Here is a 22,822-nt window from a genome sequence, read left to right as displayed (position 1 = left end):
CCCAGGTGATGCTGATACTGCTACTCTAGGAAATATACTCTGATAATCACTGTCCTAAACTCTAGCTAAAGTTAATCATTCATTTTTCTGTAACACCTCAGTGGCCATACATGTTTCATTTGTAACACTTACGTAATTCTAATATATGTTTTGTCCCCAGTTATACTTTTTCTATTTCTTCTATTGTGACAATTGCTAATACAGCACCTGGAATATGAAAAACATTCAATAAGTGTTGGCTGATTGAATTAATTCATGTTTCATTAATTTTATATCATCTTCATAAATCTCAATGAAGTATCATGCATCTATTTAGACAGTGTAAAATAATCCATAATAGCAATATATTAAAATCAAACTAATACTTAATATCTTCTGTGTGCCAGAAGTTGGGCAAAGGGCTTTATATGTATTATTAAATAATTATCTTGATGATTAGACAATATATTACAAAAAACTAAGATTCTCTAGGGTTTAAGTGGCTTTCAAAAAGTAACACAAAGCTAGTACATATCAGAACTCTGGTTTGATCCCAGCAATGTCCAAATAGAAATGGGTAACTCTGAAGAAAGGGTCTGAGAATGACAGAGTGCATATGGGTTGTGGTGGCATGGCCTTTTCCCTCCTTTCTTAAAAATAGATACCAGTTATATAAGTTTTATCATTTATGTTAACTTTGAGCTTCCTCGTGGCATATAGGTACAGGGATTTCATTAGGTTCAAAGAAGTTTTAAAGAAAAGAAACAATTTTGGTTGTGGAAGAATGTTTTCAGCTCATACCAAATAATTGAAGTCTGCTGTGTAGGTTTTGTCTTCAAAGTCTTCCATATTGAGAATGCAGTGCACTAGCACCCTCTTCTGCTGGTTGCATCTCAGTTCTTCCATCTCTTGGACAATCTTTAGGAAGCTATTCGTCTTGGAGTAAAATCGATATGCAAAGTACTCGGGCTGAGGGTATTGAGGCAACACCCAGCCATGAGCCTGGCAATTTTCATTGGCCTTGTAGGCTGCCTAGACAAAAAATCAAAATTACGGGTATTTTAGGATAAAGAGAAAGGATGAGTGAAAGAATATTTGATAAGATGGTTTATCATCATGCTGCTTTATCTCTGCAAGAAGATTTTATAGCCATTCTACATTAAATCTAACCCAATTCCCCATTTTCTAGTTATACTCTAGAGCGACCACTATGGTTTTTACAATTTAGTCTATTCAAGTCCTACTTCAATAATATTACATTAAATATTTTACTGTATTCTTTACTATAATTATTACTTTTGCTAGCATGTAGATTGCTATATCTCCCTCACTATAATACGAAGAACCCATGAGTGCAAACGTTTACCTTGCTACTGATAACATAATATGAAGTTTTGCTGAAAGATGGGAAAGTTTTTATGAAATACAGCAAGGAGTTTACTCTGACCATAGTAATTTACCATTATCAACACAAAAAGTCTGAGGAGTCCTTTAAAAATATCTAGGAAGGATTGATATTTAATTATTACAGATAGTAGTTCACTTCTCTCTTGAATATATCCAGAGAAATTCTTTACATTATTCCAAGGTAATAGATTACAGGGTTTCTCAAATATTTCCTTCTATAAAAACACAATTCTCTTTCTATTTCCTTAATAAAAGTGAAGCGTTGCTTATTTTCAGCTAATTCTCCTTTATACAATTTAGTATGTATGCTATCCTTCTGTCTTTTCCCGGGACTCTTAAAATAATTTTTAACCTACTTTTCATAGGGCCTATATTCTTAATATTTAACTATTTTTCAGTACTCTAGATTCACACCAAGGTGTAACTTTTCATTTCTGTTCCATAAATATAATTTCGCACAGACCTAAACCTTAGCGAGCCAGTGCAGTTTTTTGTTTGCTTGTTTGTTTTTATTTTACTTGCCTTTCGTTTAACTTACTTTCAAAGTGATATTTGGGTATGTAAACGTATATGTGTCCAAGAAAAACTGAGCGATGCCATTTACATCTGTGGTGTAGTTTCCCACGATTTTGTCCTTCAGATGCAACTGGACAACTTCATTTGGGATTGGAGAGTTGTCTGGATCAAGCAATTTAATCTGTACAAGAGGAAGAAAATACATTTCGGAAGCATGTAGTAAATTTGGGAATCCATTTTGATGGCATTTGCCAAGCTTCTATCATGGGGACCCCCGCTCTCCTTCGTACGTATGCACTTCCTGCGTGGTTTCATCTATTCCTGTTGAGTGTATGACATGTACCATTAATATACTAATGAGCCTAAACTCTGTTTCTCCTGCCCACGAAGATCTCTGAAAACTCAGGCCCATAGAATTAATCATCCTGAGTATTTTTTATAATAAAAATGCTACAGAAACCCTCAAATTGGAATGATTTATTACTGTGCCCAACCTTCCTTTTTTTTCTCTTTCTCTTATTTATCTCAGTGAATACCTCAACCATTCACTTAGTCACTGAAGTCAAATATCTAGAGACATCTTAGACTTTTTATTTTCCTTCTCCTATAATTTTCAATTGTTGATAAAATATTTTCAATTGTATCTTTTTAACATTTTCTGTTTCCAGCTTATCACATTTGTTCCTGTTGCTATTCCTTGTATCAATAGCTTATCTTTTTTCCCTCATACATCTTCTATTTTTTTCTATCCAGTCTCTCTCTCCTGTATTGCTTTTGCTTGTTCTTTCTCTATACTGGCATCAAAGCAAATTTTCTAAAATGCAAAATTTAGCATTATCCTCCCTAAAACATTGTAGTGACTGCTCTGATAGGCCATGGTTATTTGCTAGAAATCTCTTTCTCATTCTCTTACTAGTACAGGCAATGATTGCTTTAAAAAGTCCCTTCTGAAATTGTATGATTTGCAGTAGATACAATGCCTGCATCAGTATCTATGCCAGTTTGAAGCCTTTAAAGGCACCTTCTTAACAACATCTAAGGCCACAACAACCAGAAGAAGACTGTCTGAGACATCCTTTTTTTAGCTCAGTCAGTTTCTGCAAAACAACTTCTGCTTTGAGCCTTTCATCTTATTTCTGCCACTTATCATTTTCCTGCTGGTCCAGGCAAACACAATCCTTTTTTCTTGCTCAGCATCTGTAGACTGATGCCTTATTTGCACCATCTACGCAGATTTTGAACTTAGTTTCATCTCAAGGCTTGATCTTGTAAGAAAAATTCAACTTGTCTCAGCAGTCCACAGGCCACAGACACATGACACCATGCCTTTATGATCACACAGAGGTTTGCTCTAATTTTAGTACACCTAGACTAGAAAGATCCTTTGAGTCCCTTCCAGTCACAGAAAGATGAACAAGCCATGTGATTTCTGGGCACTTTCCTTTCTTTCTTTGTCCCCAAACCCAAATAGTGCCCCAAGTGATGACACCAGGCCCATTATCAACTGCCGGGGCCAGGCATGCAACACTTCATTAGCAGATGTTTCTTGTGGCAAAGGTATTTGTCGTATATCCTACAATTTTAAACAGTATCATTTCAGCCATCCACGGATGCTGCTACTGTCACTTATGAAGAAATACCCTTGTTAGCCCACCGCCTTGCCCAGCTTCCTATGTTCACATATGTTACTCTTGGAGTCATAGCTCTGAGGTCTTGAAATTTGTAGGGGACACTAAAAAAGCAGATAGTATCTTCATTCTGGAAATAAAGCTTACTCTTTAAAAGTGCTCCCTAGCAATACTGAGCCACGTGTTTGATGGCCTTATGACACAACACATGGCCAGATAAACCATTTTTAATTTCCAGTAATGCAGCTACTGTAGTGACTCACTATATCACAGAGAAACCAGTCCCTTTTCCAAAAGTAGAACAGGAATGACTTGTTTCTCCTGGCACATCTCCCGGAAGTGATCAGAGCATTCACCACTGTGAAATGGCCAAAAACCCAAAAGATACCACTTTATACAACCATGTTTTTGAACTAAAGCATTTTATTGTTTGAGACTCACATCTGTTTATAGCTGCCACTGGTCTCCCTAAAATGATCAAGGAAATAAGAGCTCTTATATATGAGTTTTCAGGAACTAATTCTTTCAAATGCTAATGAAGAGGGTGTGTCCAGGCAGGAAACTGTACTGTATTACAATATATTAATAACAGACTACTTTGTCCACGGATGCCTGATTCATGTAGGTACCACCTATCCCCTACCTCCCTGATAAACTATTACCAACCTCAGCTAGTTTTCCCAGCTCTCCTCTATAGGAAAAGGTGTCTTGGAGTTCCTGATTATAGGATAAGATAATACTATACCTTAAAGTGTCAAGAAGCTTTGAGAGGGAATGGGAAGGAGCTGGGCCTTAATGACTAGGCTAGGGCTTAAGTACACACATACACATACACATACACATACACACACACACACACACACACACACAACACACACACACACACCCCTCTCAACCATGTCTTATGCTAGAGAAGACAGAAATAAAACCCCTGAGTTAATCTGGAGCATGATTGACTGGCAGATTTCAGTGGATTATTGCTAATTTTTTAGAGGGGATAATAGGATTTAGGTAATCTTTTTAAAAATATCTCAAATCACCCTTCATTGAGAATCACTATTCTAAGAGTGGCAAAATTCTAATTTATCACTTTTTAACTTATTAGCCAATAAATTTTGCCATTTGGCAATGTCTGCAAACACTTTGGGCTATCACAAATAGGAAGGGGATGGTGCTACATCCCAGGTAGAGACCTGGGATGTTGCTAAACTCTTACCATGCACAGGGTAGCCCCCACAGCAAAGTATCATCTGGCCCAAAATTTCAGTTGTGCCAAGGCTAAGAAAGAATGGTTTAGAGAAACAATGCATCTAAGTAATTATTGTCAATGTCTGCTAACATCTCAGTAAGAGAGGAAGAGTGCTCTCTGTGAAAAGTACATGACACTACCTACATTATATTCTTGCCTACTGCACCCACCAAAAATGAACTTGAATCTGATCAAGCTTCTGAACCTCACTACTGGTTTATAGGAAACACAGTGGACTGAAAGTAGTTGCTTCTGGGGAAGTATTCACGAAATGAACGGATTAGAGGGGAGAGGTGCTCATTGTTCTTCATACTTTAATTTACAGTGTTATTTTTCTTGTTAATATATGTGTTGTCCGCAATTTAAAAATTACTTATTTTCCTTCCCAGTCATGGTAGCTTTGACAGAGCATAATGGCGGTGACCACGTCCACAGGGGTGCTGGCGAACTTGTCAGAAAAGCAAAGAGTTTTATCAGCTTCTGAAGAACCTGATCAATCCAAGCTGTATGGTGCGGAGGCAAGCAGAGGAAATCTGTGAAAATATCCCAGGATCCTCATCTAAGGGTAAGGGCTCCAGCCTGTACTACACTTGGACAGATGGCTACAGATTTTGCACCCAATTTCCAAAAGACATTTCATGAAACAGTGATTCCAGCTCTGTTACGTACCATGCAAAATCAAGGTAATCAGCGTGTGCAATCACATGCAGCTTCTGCTCTTACTGTTTTTATTGAAGACTGCCCCAAATCATTCCTAGTTCTATATTTGGATAGTATGGTGAAAAATCTACATTCTGTCTTGGTGATTAAGCTTGAAGAGTTGATTCGGAATGGAACTAAGTTGGCCCTGGAATAACTTGTGGCAACCATTGCATCGGTTGCAGATACAATAGAAGAAAAATTTGTCCCATATTATGATATATTCATGCCCTCACTAAAGCACATCATTGAGCTTGCTGTTCAGAAGGAACTCAAGCTTCTGAGAGGAAAAATTATTGCGTGCATTAGCCATATTGGTCTTGCTGTTGGGAAGAAAAAATTTATGTAAGATGCATCAAATGTGATGCAGCTCTTGTTGAAGACACAATCAGACTTAAATAATACGGAAGATAATGACCCCCAGACCTCTTACATGGTTTCAGCATGGGCTAGAAAGTGTAAAATTCTTGGAAAAGATTTTCAACAGTAGCTTTCCCTGGTTATCGAGCCTCTTATTAAGACTGCTTCAGCTAAACCTCATGCTGCTCTCTTAGACACACAGGATGTGGAGAATATGAATGATGATGATGGCTGGCAACATGTAAATCTTGGAGACCAACAGCGTTTTGGAATTAAAACTTCAGGACTTGAAGCAAAAGTAACTGCTTGCCAGATGTTGGTTTACTATGCTAAGGAGTTAAGGGAAGGGTTTGTGAACTATACAGAACAAGTTGTGAAGCTGATGGTTCCTTTACTGAAATTTTATTTCCAAGACAATGTTCGAGTGGCAGCAGCAGAGTCCATGCCTTTTCTCCTGGAATGTGCAAGAATTTGTGGCCCAGAGTATCTTGCACAGATGTGGCAATTCATACGTAACCCCTTAATCAAGGCTATTGGTACTGAACCAGATACAGATGTGCTCTCAGAAATAATGAATTCTTTTGCAAAGTTCACTGAAGTTATGGGAGATGATTGCCTTAATGATGAATACTTGGAAGAACTGGGAGGGACACTGAGAGCAAAACTTGAAGGGCACTTTAAAAACGAAGAATTGTGACAGGTTAAAAGTCAGGAAGAAAACTATGATCAAAAGGTTGAGATGTCTCTGCAAGATGAGGATGAATGTGATGTTTATATTCTGACCAAAGTATCAGATATTTTGCACACATTATTTAGTACTTATAAGGAAAAGATTTTACCATGATTTGAACAACTACTTCCATTAATTGTAAATCTAATTTGTTCAAGTAGGCCATGGCTAGGCAGACAGTGGGGACTGTGCATATTTGATGACATCGCAGAGCACTGCAATCCAACTTCATTTAAATATGTAGTCCAACTTCATTTAAATATGTAGACTATTTTTGGTGGCCAATGCTACTAAATGTGTGAGATAACAACCCTGAAGTCAGGCAAGCTGCTGCTTATGGCCTGGGTGTCATGGCACAGCTTAGTGGAGATGATTATCATTCTTTATGTTCAGAAGCTGTCCCACTGTGGTAAAAGTTATTAAGTGTGCAAATTCCAAAACAAAAAAAAAATGTCATTGCTACAGAGAACTGTATCTCAGCACTAGGGAAGATTTTGAAGTTTAAGCCTAACTGTGTAAATGTAGATGAAGTTCTTTCATACTGGCTATCATGGCTTCCACTGCATGAAGATAAAGAGGAAGCTATTCAGACTTTGAGTTTTCTCTGTGACCTAACTGAAAGTAACCACCCAGTTGTAATTGGTCCAAATAATTCCAATTTTCCCAAAATAATCAGAATAATTGCAGAAGAAAAAATTAATGGGACTATTAACTATGAAGATCCCTGTGCCAAACGCCTAGAAGATGTCGTGCCTCAAGTACAGACTCCTGAAGATTTATGGTTGGAATGTGTATCTCAACTTGATGATGAACAGCAGGAAGCCTTACAGGAGTTGCTAAATTTTGCTTGAAGCACTTTAATATAACTTGAATATTATCTACCATAAAAGTAACTACAAATAAGTGTTGTGAATGGATTTTATTAAAAATCAGTGAACTGTTTTCTCTCTGCTAAGCTGTTTATAGTTCTTCCTATGTTTCTCCAGAATTAGTCAATGTTAGTCCTCTGTTTATCTTGTATGTTTTATCTCCCAAACACAAACCTTGGTGATAACCTGTGCTTCAAGCTGTCTTACAATATTTGTCACCTTTCCCCTAGTTGATGTGAAGTATATAAATTGTTGCTATTTGTTTGAACTATTATCAATGCTAGCCAAGCAGTATACTTGATGTGAAGATGTCATGCTATCATGATATGCTAAGAGCTCATGAAAATAAGACAGAATTTCCAGGACAAACATCTTTGGAATTGTGAGTGAAGGATATAGTGGCAGGCTTGTCCCTCCTTGATTAATACTCTTGATATTTGTGGTGATGGGAGGATGCTGGAACTAGGAGAGAGTTTTGAGATACTGCAGAGGATGTGGGATGTATATAAACTTTTTCATGGTGTTCTCCTGGGAACTGGGTGGGACATATCCATATTCTAGTTCCCAAGGTGTCCAGCTGAGAGTTAGAGAACTTTAAATTTCTTTAGCCAGACTGGTCTCTATTTTTTTAAGTTATCCAGGACTCCAAGAACCATAGTTACTGAAAAGGGATTCCTGATTCATCTAACACTGGTAGCATGTAACAGTGTTCGACAAATAGTAAGTCATCAATATTCTTGGGAGTCAGTGTTGTGTGTTTCAGGAGAGTATTATTTTGTATATGTATGCCATTTCCCCCCTGCAAAGCAGTTCAACAAGAAGAGAAGCTCTGATTATAGGGCTTAAATTGATTTATATTTCAAAGAATTTCCTAATAGATTCTATAGTAGCACTGAAGAGTATTCTATTGTAAAACTCGGAGGAAAGCAAATGTAATTTTCTTTGGACATGAAAAAGAAAGCAACTTTGAGAGTAGTCATTTAGCAGTAGATGTGCATTATTATGAGAAAACAGTTCTATAAATTCAGGGTTAATTATATTAATTGGAATGTCGGTCTCTAATGTCTAGCTTATTATAGGGTAGAAAAGAGCTTTCTACTCAGCTAATCATTAATCATTGATCCAAAACTTAAATACATCTATCATTTCCTGGGGCTATTGTGAGTACTGTATATGTATTTAGCAAATATTTAAGACCTAGTAAGTGCTCAATAAATTGTAGCTGTTACTACAAAAGAAAAAATTACTTTTTAAAAAAATATACAACCATAATCACACATACTAGAGAAGAAAACTTAAAACTCTAAGTAATTCTTAGGTAAAAATAAAAATAAAAATAATGAAATCATCAGAAATGATTTTAATTGAACTTAAAAATTGTTAAGATGGTAAATTTGATATGTGCATTTTTTCATAATTTAAAAAATAAAAATAGTATAGAAAAACACCTGTGAGGAGGAAAGTAGTATTCAGGAAAAATTGTATAAATTTGAAAACATGGAAGTTTAACATAAGTATTTATAACAAGATGCTAGAAAAAAAAACCAAAAGAGGTAGAAGAAAAAATATAATAAAAATAAATGATGAAAGGAAAATCATTTAAAATAACATTAAAAATAAACATAATTAACAAATCCAAAAACTAATGGGAAAAAAACACAAACACAACTAGTAATAAAAAGGGGAAATAAATTATGATAGATTTATTTTTTCAAATCATAAGTGAACATATTTTTATGTCCTCTATTTTAAAACCTAAATTTAATAAGAAATATCTAGATACAGAAACTAACATATTATAGAAAATTCTTAGTGAACTAAAAAAGGAAAATTTTTTGACTTCATAAAGTATGTCTCACAAAATGCTACAGTTACTTAGTAGGTTTATGCATTACATTTTTAAAAGCATTCCCCAAAATATGCAAAATACAACCAGGAAGTCCACTATCATCTCTAATATTCAATTTGGAGATATTTGCCAATCGAATAAAACAAACTAATAACAAAAACCTCAGAAGATTAAGTTCAGAAAGGAAGCTAAAATATAACATTTTCACACAAAATGCTCTTTACACAGGAAACACTTTTAAATAGCACAGAAAAGATACAAGAGACAAATGGGAACCCAAGAAATCATCTTGGGTAACAACAACATAAGAGGGAGGAAATGGAGAATTCTCAAGTCTAGATAAAATTATTTTATATTCAGAAAAAATTTTATATTCTTTGAAGATATCTCTCAGTTTTATATATTTAGTAACAGAACATGGAAAGATATAAAGCAAAAATGTACAAAGTGAAGAGAAAGGTTAGAAAAAATTACATTAACATTATTCACCACTATTCAGTAAGTGAAATGAACATATATCAAATTTATCTATCTGCCAAAGCTGTATTTCAATCTAAATTTGTTCATTAAATGACTTTTACTGAAATTTGTTTCAGTAAGTCCTTTAGGTGATGCTGATGCCAGTTTGAGAACCACTGCTCTGTAAGATGTAAGCCAGGCTACCCACTTTTGTATTTCTTTTTTAGTGTTCTTGTGTCAACCTAAATATTACTTCCTCAGGGAAACTTTCCATGATCATTTAGTCCAGATTTTAGCAAACTTCTTTCGTAAAACACCATGGTCTCTCTCTCATATATTTTGTTATTTTTTAAATAATCTTTTAAAAATGTTAAAACCACTCATAGTTCACTGGCTGTATCAAGGCAGGCCTCTGTCTGATTTGCCTATGGGCTGTGGTTTGTCAGCTCCTGATGTAGAGTAGTTAAATGGTCAGTATTTCACTGACATAGCACCTATCACGACTACAATAATTCTTTGTAAAATTATCTGTTTAATGTTTATTATCTCTATTACACTATAAACTCCATAAAAGCAGTGATAAAAGTGCCTCTCTACATCACCATTTTATTCCTAATACTGATGTAGACTATATAATTTATTGTCCAAACTTGGACACTTTTAGAGTGAAGTGGTTGTAACTATTAACAGTTACAACTTGATAAAACATATACACCAGGACAGATCTATGAAAATCAACAGTGTAGGTCACCCTACAGTGCTTAGCACAGAGATTCCTACATAGTAATTTCTTAGGGAATAGCTGTTGGAAGATTAGTAGATAAATGAAAGAACAAATGAATGAATGAATAAGGTATGTAAAAAATGATTGCTTTCTTACCTGGCCAAAATAAGGGAGTCCCTGTTTGTAGGACATATCCATATTCTCAAAACTAATCTTCACCACTGATGAGTCTATGTATATGTACTTGGAGCCTGTAAGCTGCACACCTGCAGTCAATTAAGTATTATTGAGAAAATGTCACTTCCAAAAACAGACAAACAGAGCTTCTGAAAAAAACCACAAAAGCTCACCATTCCTTCTAATAGTTTCCCTTCCCTTTCCTAAGCAGTTTTAATATATAGGTACTTCAGATGTCTTTTATAAAGAAAGTTAATCAAGACGGCACAAAATGCTTGTGCCAACTGGTGTTGCTGCTTTTTATAAAATATCCAATTCACTTACCATTTCTTCATGATGGATTAGTAAACGTTGATTTCTCATTATTCCTAAGTGATTGTTTAACAACATTTCTTTTACTCTCTGCTTGCCTAAAACATATGCTTTAATTTATTAATAGTAAGAATTGTAATATATGTGTATTATTAAAAATGGAAATGCTTAAAAAAGAAAATACAAATTACCAAATATCAGATATCTCCAAGAGAATCAAAATTAGCATTTTAGGCTTTTTCCCACAAGTTCTATTTCTTTTTATATTTATCATTTATATTAATATGTTTGAGATTGTGTGTGTATATGTGTACATGCACACATACACTCAATATGTGCAAATGTGTATGTAGTTTTACATGTTTTTTATCATTATTTTATAAAGTTTTTGTAAAACCTTATAAAAACTTATATTTTTATTGCTACATTATTTCTCATATAAATATGGACATATGTTATCATGTAGCAAGCCCTTCCCTCCTTCCTTCCTTCCTGCCTTCCTTCCTTTCCTTCCTTCCTTTTCTTTCTTCCTTCCTTTCTTTCTCTTTCTCTCTCTTCCTTTCTTTCTCTCTCTTTCTCTCTCTCTTTCTCTTTTTTTTTCCTTGAGATAGGGTCTCATTCTGTTGCCCAGGCTGGAGTGCAGTGGTGCGATCATGGCTCACTGCAGCCCCAATCTCCTGGGCTCAAGTGATCCTCCCACCTTAGCCTCCTGAGTAGCTGGGACTACAGCTGCATGACACAACACCCAGCTAATTTTGTATTGTTTGTAGAGACGGGGTCTCACTATGTTGCCACCGAGGATGGTCTCAAACTCCTAGGCTCAAATAATTCTTCTGCCTCAGCCTCCCCAGGTGCTGGGGTTATAGGTGTGAGCCACTGTGCCTGGCTATTCTTTTATTATTTATTTAGTTCAGTATGACAAATATACCTAATTATCAATTAAATGTTTGTTTAATACTTGAATTTCCTCTGGATGTGACAGATACCTCTAAAACTTTGAAGACTGATATAAGTACATTAGTAATTTAATATTTCACGAACAGAAATTTTGCTGAAATATCAGTTACATATGCATAAGTTTAAAAGCACTATAGTAACACAAAGTGGTCAGCACAGAAAAAAGCATTTCAAGGATTAAGACTTACCATTTTGTGCTTTAGGAAGAAGGGGTATTAGGTCCAGGAGATACAAGAAATTAGTCATTAGAAATATTATTGGCCGGGCGAGGTGGCTCACGACTGTAATCCCCGCACTTTGGGAGGCCGAGGCGGGAGGATCACCTGAGGTTAGGAGTTTGAGACTAGCCTGGACAACATGATGAAACCCCGTCTCTCTACTAAAAATGCAAAAACCTAGTCGGGCCTGATGGCGGGCGCCTGTAATCCCAGCTACTCGGGAGGCTGAGGCGGAAGAATCGCTTGAACCTGGCGGGCGGAGGTCGCAGTGAGCTAAGATTACGCCACCGCACTCTAGCCTGGGCAACAAGAGCGAAACTCCGAAAAAGAAAAAGAAGGAAGGGAGGAAGGCAGGGAGACAGATTTTCCTGGATGAGATAAAGATTTTTCACTGGATTTATTTTCAGAGGCTCAGTAAAATATTCTCCCCAAACTATTTTACTTCCCATGTTCTAATTCTATGCTCACCAAAAAAATTTTATAATCGACAACTACATGTCTCAATTATATCTATCTGTGGAATGATTAAGGAAAAGGAATATGCTTATATCTAAAACCAGATACTCCCATTATAAATCAATAAATTGGCATTCTTACTTCTATTGTAGCCTTATTTGAATGTAATACTTGACCATCCATCAACATGTGTGTGAAAATTTTGGTTGATATATGAAACATTCAGAATTTGAATCAGATGAACCCAATGAAAAGCCCTCAGGGAAAAAATGATTGTATTAACATTGTATAGTTGGCAATCAGGTAACAATTCGAATGAGACAGTGATATCCATTGGGGTCTGGCTTCTTAGAGAGCATTACCTGTTCCGTTCTCTGTAACAAGAGCATGCACTTTGAGGAAACTCCAGTATCCTTACCGATTTAACTCAAAAGCACCTGTGTTAATGAACTTGGAGACACAGCCATCTTTCCCCAACTGAAAAGAACAATAAAAAAAAGTTATATTTTAAAGGAAGACTGTAAGAAATACCTATATAATATAATAGGGAAAATGTGTGACCTCACTGAAGCAACTTTAAGAATATTGTATTACCCAAGTTTTAGTTTTTTAAAATAATCCATTGTGTTTCTATAATTATATTTTCAGTTCATGTATTTACCTATAACTATTTATTTTTTAATAAATATTAACTCTTACAATATTGTGTTTTAAAAAACTCTTCATGGTGACATTATTTTGTTATTGTACAAGATAATAAACACATCCATCACTAGTCACAAGTATTCACACATGATATTTGCAATTTTGGTAATTTCAGCCATATTCTTTTACAGTTTTGAAACTGAGTTTTATACTATTTAGTTACCATGCCTTGGACATTTATGGGACTATTTACACAGCAGTTAGGAACACAGGCTTTACAGTCAAACACCAGAATTTGAACCCTGGCTTTACTACTTATTACTTCATACAAAATGAAATCTTAATAAAGAGCTTGTAGAATTGTATTACATTAGATAATAACTGGAAAGTGTTTATTTAGCACAGGGCCAGCACTTAGTAAACATTCAGTAGGTAGTAGATTTTTTAATTAGATTCCTTTACATTTCTCTCAGTGTCTAGTCAAGTGACAATGTCTCACTAAGTGAAATTTTTAAAGTGTCACAATTAGTAACCAAAATTTAAACAGGATGAATTGTCAAATATTTTTAAAACGTGGGATAAATTGTGCTCATAGGTTCCTGGACTATAATATTGGGGAAAAACTGTGTTCTTATTCTACTCCTTCATCTTATGATGATATGAGGAAATCTAGTCCTCAAGATGTGGTGAGATGTCAAAATCCTGTGCTACTTCAGGGGGTCCTTGAAACTATAAGAAGGTCTAGAACCATTTCCAGAAGCTTAAAGATCTAGAAAAATTTCCACTATACTAAAGGTGAATAATTAGATAAATTATTTAGTCCACACTCCTGCTTTACATGTGCATTTGATTATTTTAACTTTTATTTTAGGTTCAAGGGTACCTGTGCAGGTTTGTTATATAGGTAAATTGTGTGTCATGGGGGTTTGGTGTACAGATTATTTCACTATCCAGGTAATAAGCATAGTATCCAATAGGTAGTTTTTTTGATCCTCACCCCTTCCCACCCTACATGTACATTTTAAGTTTCCAGATCTCTCAAATCTCCTGAAGGGCATCTATATAATATAGCCGCCTTCGATAATGCATTCTGGGATCTACCTACCCTGTGCACTCGGCTTATATTGGTTTAGTCTCTTCTAGAGTGTGCATCTTTAAAGATTATGACTGCTTCATAAAGTGCAAAACCCATGAGGATAGTACCTGATCTGTCTTGCTCAACAATGAAGCTTCTAAATAAAATTATTCTTGCATATTAAAAGACCTCAATATTATCTGTTGAATGAATTTGTGGAGAAAATTTTTGTATCCCTGATATCCCTAAAGATACAGCCCCACTAGTTATTTAAATATTTATATGACTTGGTTGGGGTGCAGTGGCTCACGCCTGTAACCCCAGCACTTTGGGAGACCGAAGCGGGCAGATCACATGAGATGAGGAGTTCAAGACCAGGCTGGCCAACATGGTGAAACCCCGTCTCTACCAAAAATACAAAATTAGCTGGGCGTGGTGGTGCACGCCTGTAGTCCCAGCTTCTTGGGAGGTTGAGGCACGAGAATTGCTTGAACCCGGGAGGCAGAGGTTGCGGTAAGCCAATATCGCGCCACTGCATTCCAGCATGGGCGACACAGTGAGACTGTCTAAAAATATATATGTATTGACATGTATTTATGATCTAGTTTTGCTGCACCCATGACCTTGAGCAATGTATTTAACCTCTTTCTGCTTTAATCCACTCATCAGTAAGGGGGCGATAATAGTACCCCCTCATAGGGTACTATTTGTTTTGAGAATCAAATGCACATAAACTACTTAGCTCAGTGACTGACACACAATAAGCATCCATTAAATGTTAGCAATTATTATTATTATAATTGTTACTATTGTTAGCGTTTATTGTCCACATTTTTTTAATTTAAGAATTAGAAGGTTCTTCATTATTTCCAACCTAAAGTATTCTCTAAACGGGACAGGAATATGTGACACTGTGTGTGTGCACCTGTGTGTGTGTGCACACATGTGTGTGGATAAATGGTATCACACTATAGTATGGGGATTGCAGCTGGCAGTTGTATATTAGACAGTCAGATCTGGCATGATTATAGCTGAAAGCCTTGCTACATCCTAGACCAGCCTGTTTGTGTCCGTTTTCTGAATGTTGGTTCTCAAACCTTCCAAGTAGATCTTTTAGGAAATTCCTCCTTTGTCAGTTTGGAAAAGTTGATTCTTCTCTTTAGTGGTTAAGAACCTGACTGATAGGGTTCCCATCCGGAGCTCCTATATACACTTATTTCCAGTGAGAATAGGTTGAGAGGAAAATAATTATACATCTAATACTCTTGAATATGCAGAAACGTCACATCTCCCTGACTAAATTCACAAAGTATAAAATAAAGAACAGGACATATGTTCCCAGTAAATTGATAGGGTGTAGATTTTGATATGAAACCAAATGTATTTTTAATTAAGAATCGAAATTTACTACTCAGTTTCTGATACTATAATTTGCTTTTTGTCAGTCAATAGAAAATGAAACTTAGCATGACAAAAGAGGAATATAAAATTTACAAATAGGAATAGAAATATAGAATAAAAGTATATATTTTAACTGTAAAGAGGAAAACAAGAAGAAAGGAAGGTAAATGGAAGGTGAGGATAAAAAGTTAACGCAAACCTATTTATAATTTTGCTGATATACCTCTTACCTGAATGGTAAAATTTTTACAGAGTGAACTGATAAGATGAGCACATGAATGATAAGCCGTAGATTCTCTGCACACACTAAGTTGGACCTTCCCGTCCACAGGTTCACCATAGGTATATCTAATAGAAGAATATAACAATAACACAATTACAGAGGTCAAGGTCGTTTTTAATCTGTATAGGGTTTTGAAACCTTTATTTAGTAGCTGAAACCAGCACCGTAACAACATTTAAATAGCTAGTTAGCATAAATTTTATTTTCTGGAGGAAATCTAAAACAATGGTATGGACTAAAATTGAGTTGAATGCTTTAGGCAAAAATATATTTTAATTAAAAAGGTTGAAATAGGCATGTAGAAGTTATATATCTAAGTCACTAAAATACAATGTAAACAAAAAAACAAAAAAAATCAGTCATTATTTCATTAAAAATAATATTTTTTGCATACTGATAGCAATGGAGTATTGAAAAACAAAAAATAAAATAAAATAACATTTTGCTTCTTTTAGTTTTTTTGTTTTTAAACTGCTATTATGAGCATATTTTATGGTTTTTACTTTTAAAATGTAAATTATATTTATTTATTTATTTTTTATAAATGTCATTTTAAGCCATCAGATTTTGGGGTAATTTCTTTTTGTTTGTTTGTTTTGGAAAGAAGTAAAACTGTTCATTTTTTTTTATTATTATATTTTAAGTTCTGGGATATATGTGCAGAAGGTGCAGGTTTGTTACATAGGTATGCGTGTGTTATGGTGGTTTGCTGCACCCATCAACCCATCATCTACATTAAGTATTTCTCTTAATGCTATCCCTCCCCTTGCCCCCAACCCCCGACAGGCCCCGGTGTGTGATGTTCCCCTCCCTGTGCCCATATGTTCTCATTGTTCAACTCCTACTTCTGAGTGAGAACATGTGGTGTTTGGTTTTCTGTTCCTGTGATAGTTTGCAGATAATGATGGTTTCCAGTTTCATCCATGTCCCTGCAAAGGACATGAACTCATTCTTTTTTATGGCTGCATAGTATTCCATGGTGTGTATGTGCCCCATTTTCTTTACCCAGTCTAAAATTGATGGGCATTTGGGTTGGTTCCAAGTCTTTGTTATTGTGAATAGTGCTGCAATAAACGTACGTGTGCAGGTGTCTTTATAGTAGAATGATTTATAATCCTTTGGGTATATACCCAGTAATGCAATTGCTGGGTCAAATGGTATTTCTGGTTCTAGATCTTTGAGGAATGGCCACTGCGTCTTCCACAGTGGTTGAACTAATTTACACTCCCAACAACAGTGTAAAAGCGTTCCTATTTCTCCACATCCTCTCCAGCACCTGTTGTTTACTGACTTTTTAATGATCGCCATTTTAACTGGCATGAGATGGTATCTCACTGTGGTTTTGATTTGGATTTCTCTAATGACCAGTGATGATGAGCTTTTTTTCATATGTTTGTTGGCTGCATAAATGTCTTCTTTTAAGCAGTGTCTGTTCATATCCTTCGCCCTCTTTTTGATGGGGTTGTTTGCTTTTTCTTGTAAATTTATTTAAGTTCCTTATAGATTCTGGATATTAGCCCTTTCTCAGATGGATAGATTGCAAAATTTTTCTCCCATTCTGTATGTTGCCTGTTCACTCTGATTATAGTTTCTTTTGCTATGCAGAAGCTCTTTAGTTTAATTAGATCCCGTTTGTCAATATTGGCTTTTGTTGCAATTGCTTTTGGTGTTTTAGTCATAAAGTATTTGCCCATGCCTATGTCCTGAATGGTATTGCCTAGGTTTTGTTCCAGGGTTTTTATGGTTTTAGGTCTAACATTTAAATCTTTAATCCATCTTGAGTTAATTTTTGTATAAGGTGTAAAGAAGGGGTCCAGTTTCAGTTTTCTGCATTTGGCTAGCCAGTTTTCCCAACACCGTTTATTAAATAGGGAATCCTTTCCCCATTGCTTGTTTTCATCAGGTTTGTCAAAGGTCAAATGGTTGTAGATGTGTGGTGCTATTTCTGAGGCCACTGCTCTGTTCCATTGGTCTATATATCTGTTTTGGTACCAGTACCATGCTGTTTTGGTTACAATAGCCTTGTGGTATAGTTTGAAGTCACGAATCCAACTTCCAAGGGATGTGAAGGACCTCTTCAAGGAGAACTACAAACCACTGCTCAAGGAAATAAGAGAGGACACAAACAAATGGAAAGACAATCCATGCTCATGGATAGGAAGAATCAACATCGTGAAAGTGGCCATGCTGCCCAAAGTAACTTATAGATACAATGCTATTCCCATCAAGCTAACATTGACTTTCTTCACAGAATTGGAAAAAGCTACTTTAAAGTTCATATGGAACCAAAAAAGAGCCTGCATTGCCAAGACAATCCTAAGCCAAAAGAACAAAGCTGGAGGCATCACTCTACCTGATTCAAACTATACTACAAGGCTACAGTAACCAAAACAGCATGGTACTGCTACCAAAACAGACATATAGACCAATGGAACAGAACAGAGCCCTCAGAAATAACACCACACATCTACAACCATCTGATCTTTGACAAACCTGACAAAAACAAGAAATGGGGAAAGGATTCCCTATTTAATAAATGGTGCTGGGAAAACTGGCTAGCCATATGTAGAAAGCTGAAACTGGATCCCTTCCTTACACCTTATACAAAAATTAATTCAAGACAGATTATTAAAGACTTAAATGTTAGACCTAAAACCATAAAAACCCTAGAAGAAAACCTAGGCAATACCATTCAGGACATAGGCATGGGCAAGGACTTCATGTCTAAAACACCAAAAGCAATGGCAACAAAAGCCAAAATTGACAAGTGGGATCTAATTAAACTAAAGAGCTTCTGCACAGCAAAAGAAACTACCATCAGAGTGAACAGGCAACTGACAGAATGGGAGAAAATGTTTACAATCTACCCATCTCACAAAGGGCTAATATCCAGAATCTACAAAGAACTTAAACAAATTTACAAGAAAAAATCAAACAACCCCATCAGAAAGTGGGCGAAGGATATGAACAGACACTTCTCAAAAGAAAACATTTAAGCAGCCAACAGACACATGAAACAATGCTCATCATCATTGGCCATTAGAGAAATGAAAATCAAAACCACAGTGAGATACCATCTCACACCAGTTAGAATGGCAATCATTAAAAAGTCAGGAAACAACAGGTGCTGGAGAGGATGTGGAGAAATAGGAACATTTTTACACTGTTGGTGGGACTGTAAACTAGTTCAACCATTGTGGAAGACAGTGTGGTGACTCCTCAAGGATCTAGAACTAGAAATACCATTTGACCCAGCTATCCCATTACTGGGTATATACCCAAAGGATTATAAATCATGCTGCTATAAAGACACATGCACACTTATGTTTATTGCGGCACTATTCACAACAGCAAAGACTTGGAACCAACCCAAATGTCCATCAATGATAGATGGACATATACACCATGGAATACTATGCAGCCATGAAAATGGATGAGTTCATGTCCTTTGTAGGGACATGGATGAAGCTGGATACCATCATTCTGAGCAAACTATCTCAAGGACAGAAAACCGAACACCACATGTTCTCACTCATAGGTGGGAATTGAACAATGAGAACACTTGGACACCGGGTGGGGAACATCCCACACTGGGGCCTGTCGTGGGGTGGGGGCAGTGGGGAGGGATAGCATTAGGAGATATACCTAATGTAAATGACAAGTTAATGGGTGCAGCACAGCAACATGGCACATGTATACATTTGTAACAAACCTGCACGTTGTGCACATGTACCCTAGAACTTAAAGTATAATTTAAAAAATTTTAAATAGGTAGAAAGAGCAAAGAACAAAATTGCTTGTAAGGAATAACAGTAGATTCCTCTGGGCTACGTTTTAGGACAATTTCTCAATTTCATCTTCCAAATTACTAATTCTCTCTTAAGTATCATCGATCCTTCTAGTCAGCCTTTCTACACATATATTTTTAAATTAATAATATGCCTAATTCCAAGGTCTTTAATTATTTTTAAAGTTACACTATTGACTCATATCTGAGTATACACATTTTACTTATTTCTAAATCTTTTTCTGATTGATGTTCAACAGTTTTCTCAGGTATATATTGCTCTTTTTTTTGTTTATATTATACCTTGATTTCAAGTCATTAGAATCTTCAACCATTTAGTGATTCATGCTTATGTTTTGGGATTCCCAGCTGGCTTGTCCTAGAGTGCTTTATTTTGCTTATGCAATACTTCTCCAGTAAAAATGACACAGGAGCCAACACACAGCCACTGTGACAGGGAAGTACCTAGACATTTGGGCTTTGGGGATTTCTGTTACTCAGGGGATTTTCCAGCAATGCTGGCAATTCCCTGCCTCTATGACCCAACTACAATGAGACTTTTCAGTCTCTGCCTTTTCTGTATTCTTCCACCTCTGGAGGTGAAGCACAAGGTAGTGACATCAAAAAGTTAGCCATGCTTCTTCTTGACTCTTAAAGACTTCCAGCCTAAAGTAGACACAGGAAGGAGGGCAGGCAAAGCTTTCACCTTAAAGTTTGGCATGGAATTTTAGATTACTGTAATGAAGCTCTCCTAATAACTAGAAATTACCAGGTCACTTTTTATTTTTAATTATGCAAAATTAAAAGGAAAAGTAGTACACATGAGTCAGGGAAAAGTAGTACACATCAGGTCTGAGGAGACAAAGTTTTAATGTTTGTACCCTGGCTCTCTTTGCTGGTTATATAAACTCCGTGAATGTTGCTTACCTTAGTGACAAGAAGAGGGGAAAACAACCTGACCTGCTTCACTGCTACTCCTGCCACACGTTAATCCTCACTATTTGCCCCTAAGTCCCTGTCTGCCCTTAGTATCCTCCACACTGTGCCCCGCCATTACCCTAGAGCCACTTGTAACTCTTACAGCAGTTTTCTCTGTGATACATCTTGAGCTTCAGCTTTCTTTTATAATCATGTAATACATAAAGATTGAATTGAGAAATCGTCATAAACAGAAAATATTGTCCAATGGAAATTTCTGGGAGATGGAATGTTCTATGTTTTATGTCTATGCTCTCCAATTCAGTGGCCACTAGTCACATGTGACAGCTTGAAATGTGGCTAACGCAACTGAATATTTAGTTTTAATTAAAACTTAAATAACCACATGTGGTCATGGCTACTGTATTGGCTGGTGCAAAACAATATGTTATCTTATGATGTAAGAAAGACAGTAGTCAGTTGTCTTAAACTGTTACATAAAACCACGTGTCATAACATGCATTAAAAGAATTATAGATGCATGGAAGAATTCATAAAATCAGCAAAACAATTTCACACCTTCTTTTTCCCTTACCTTCTACACATTTATATTTTACTTCTTTTTAGCCATCTATCCCATTCTAGTATCTTTCTATGAATACATTATTCTATTGTGTACAATTTCAACTTACAAGGCACAGACATTCACTTTGAATTCAGAGTCCACAACTAAGATATTTTCTGGTGCATCCACAGTCATTTGAAATTTGGGTAACACTGCCAGTAAAAAAAAAATATATATATTATAATGTGTATATTATATATTATTAACATAAATACATATTAACATAAATACATTCATACAAAACAATTGTTTCTCCTTTACAAACCATCAACCTTTGCTTATGTTTGCCATTAATAAACAGTGTGAGGAGGACGCTGAAGTGCCTAAGACTGGATTTTGGAATTGGATAGAAAAATGCATATTTTGAATTCCAAATTCATCACTTTTCAGGTGTTGAACTTGGGAAAGTGTTTCTCAATATCTTCATCTTTAAAATAGTAATAAAGATACTACAATAGAAATTTTATGAAGATTTTAGGAGAAAATATGAAGGGACTAATGGCTAACATATGACTAATGTTAATTCCATTCTTCTCATAAGAAGTGCTTTACATCCCAGAAACTATCATATAAAATAGAATCCAGATACTACAAAAGGAAGATAGATAGCCTAGGTTAACAGAGAATTGCAGGAAGATTATGGGCTGAACTAGGAGATAAAAATCACAGTAGATGGAGAACCCTAAAATAGTAACAGAGGACAAGGAAAGAGGAAAGGAAGAGATACTCACTTGAAAATTCATTATTTAATAATCTTGCCCTTGCAAAATTGGAAAGATTTTATAATTTTTTTATTGATAGGTAATATTTTCATTGCTATTATTTACCATATTCTTCCACAGAGAAGGAGTGATATGTTTTCTTCTCATTGAGCATCTCCATGGTGATTTCATACCATCCGAGGATGGGCTCTGAGATTAACTGGAAGGAGAGTTGTAGAATCCCTCCCACAGACTCCTCATTCACCCACTGTTGTATTCGACTGCCTTCTGGATCCTGAGAATAAGAAAGCGTATTTTTGTATGCTGGATGTTTTTATTCATTATAAAGTTTCAGCAAGGTGTTTCCTACTTAGGTTTCCAACTTACTTAGGATTCAAAACATGAGTGCGTCCTCACATCACCCAAGGAGAATTGGTTACTCTCCTATCTGGGGTCACATAGATGCATATTACAGCACTTAGTATATTTTAGAGCTAGCTGTGATTTTTTTACATTTATTTTCTGTGTCAATCTCTGATTTCTTAAAGGCGAGCCATATTTTATCCCCAGTGCATAAACATTAAGTGTACATTTATATACATTCAACAACTAAACATTAAATTAAATACAATCATACTTGCCCGTTGTCTATATTATTATTGTCTGTATTAATGGGTGCATGCTAATATGAATCACATGGTGGTGGGGGTGGAAACCTATTTCTGTCCTCTTGGGGCTGTCTGCATGAAATTAATAATTCTGCAACAATTTAAATAGACAATCTTCCCTGTGAGCTGC

The 22,822-nt window shown here is 35.8% G+C and overlaps 2 pseudogenes across 1 annotated transcript in view; one reads left to right on the top strand and one right to left on the bottom strand.

Moving 5' to 3' along the window:
- Positions 1-22,822, bottom strand: part of OVOS1P (ovostatin 1, pseudogene) — a 127,984-nt pseudogene that overhangs the window by 62,504 nt on the left and 42,658 nt on the right. The window contains exons 6-13 of the transcript NR_153413.2: positions 22,151-22,319; positions 21,391-21,475; positions 15,941-16,058; positions 13,008-13,066; positions 10,626-10,735; positions 1,925-2,083; positions 781-1,011; positions 133-207 (exon numbers count right to left, since the gene is read on the bottom strand). The product of NR_153413.2 is annotated as an ovostatin 1, pseudogene (transcript). The remainder of the gene's footprint in view (positions 1-132; positions 208-780; positions 1,012-1,924; positions 2,084-10,625; positions 10,736-13,007; positions 13,067-15,940; positions 16,059-21,390; positions 21,476-22,150; positions 22,320-22,822) is intronic.
- Positions 5,176-7,712, top strand: LOC100419520 (RAN binding protein 6 pseudogene; annotated as a pseudogene).

This window comes from Homo sapiens, chromosome 12 (genome assembly GCF_000001405.40).
Source record: "Homo sapiens chromosome 12, GRCh38.p14 Primary Assembly".
Lineage (NCBI taxonomy): Eukaryota > Metazoa > Chordata > Mammalia > Primates > Hominidae > Homo > Homo sapiens.
The sequence above is the reverse complement of the archived record's forward strand: the minus strand, read 5'-3'. Positions and strand labels throughout refer to the sequence as shown.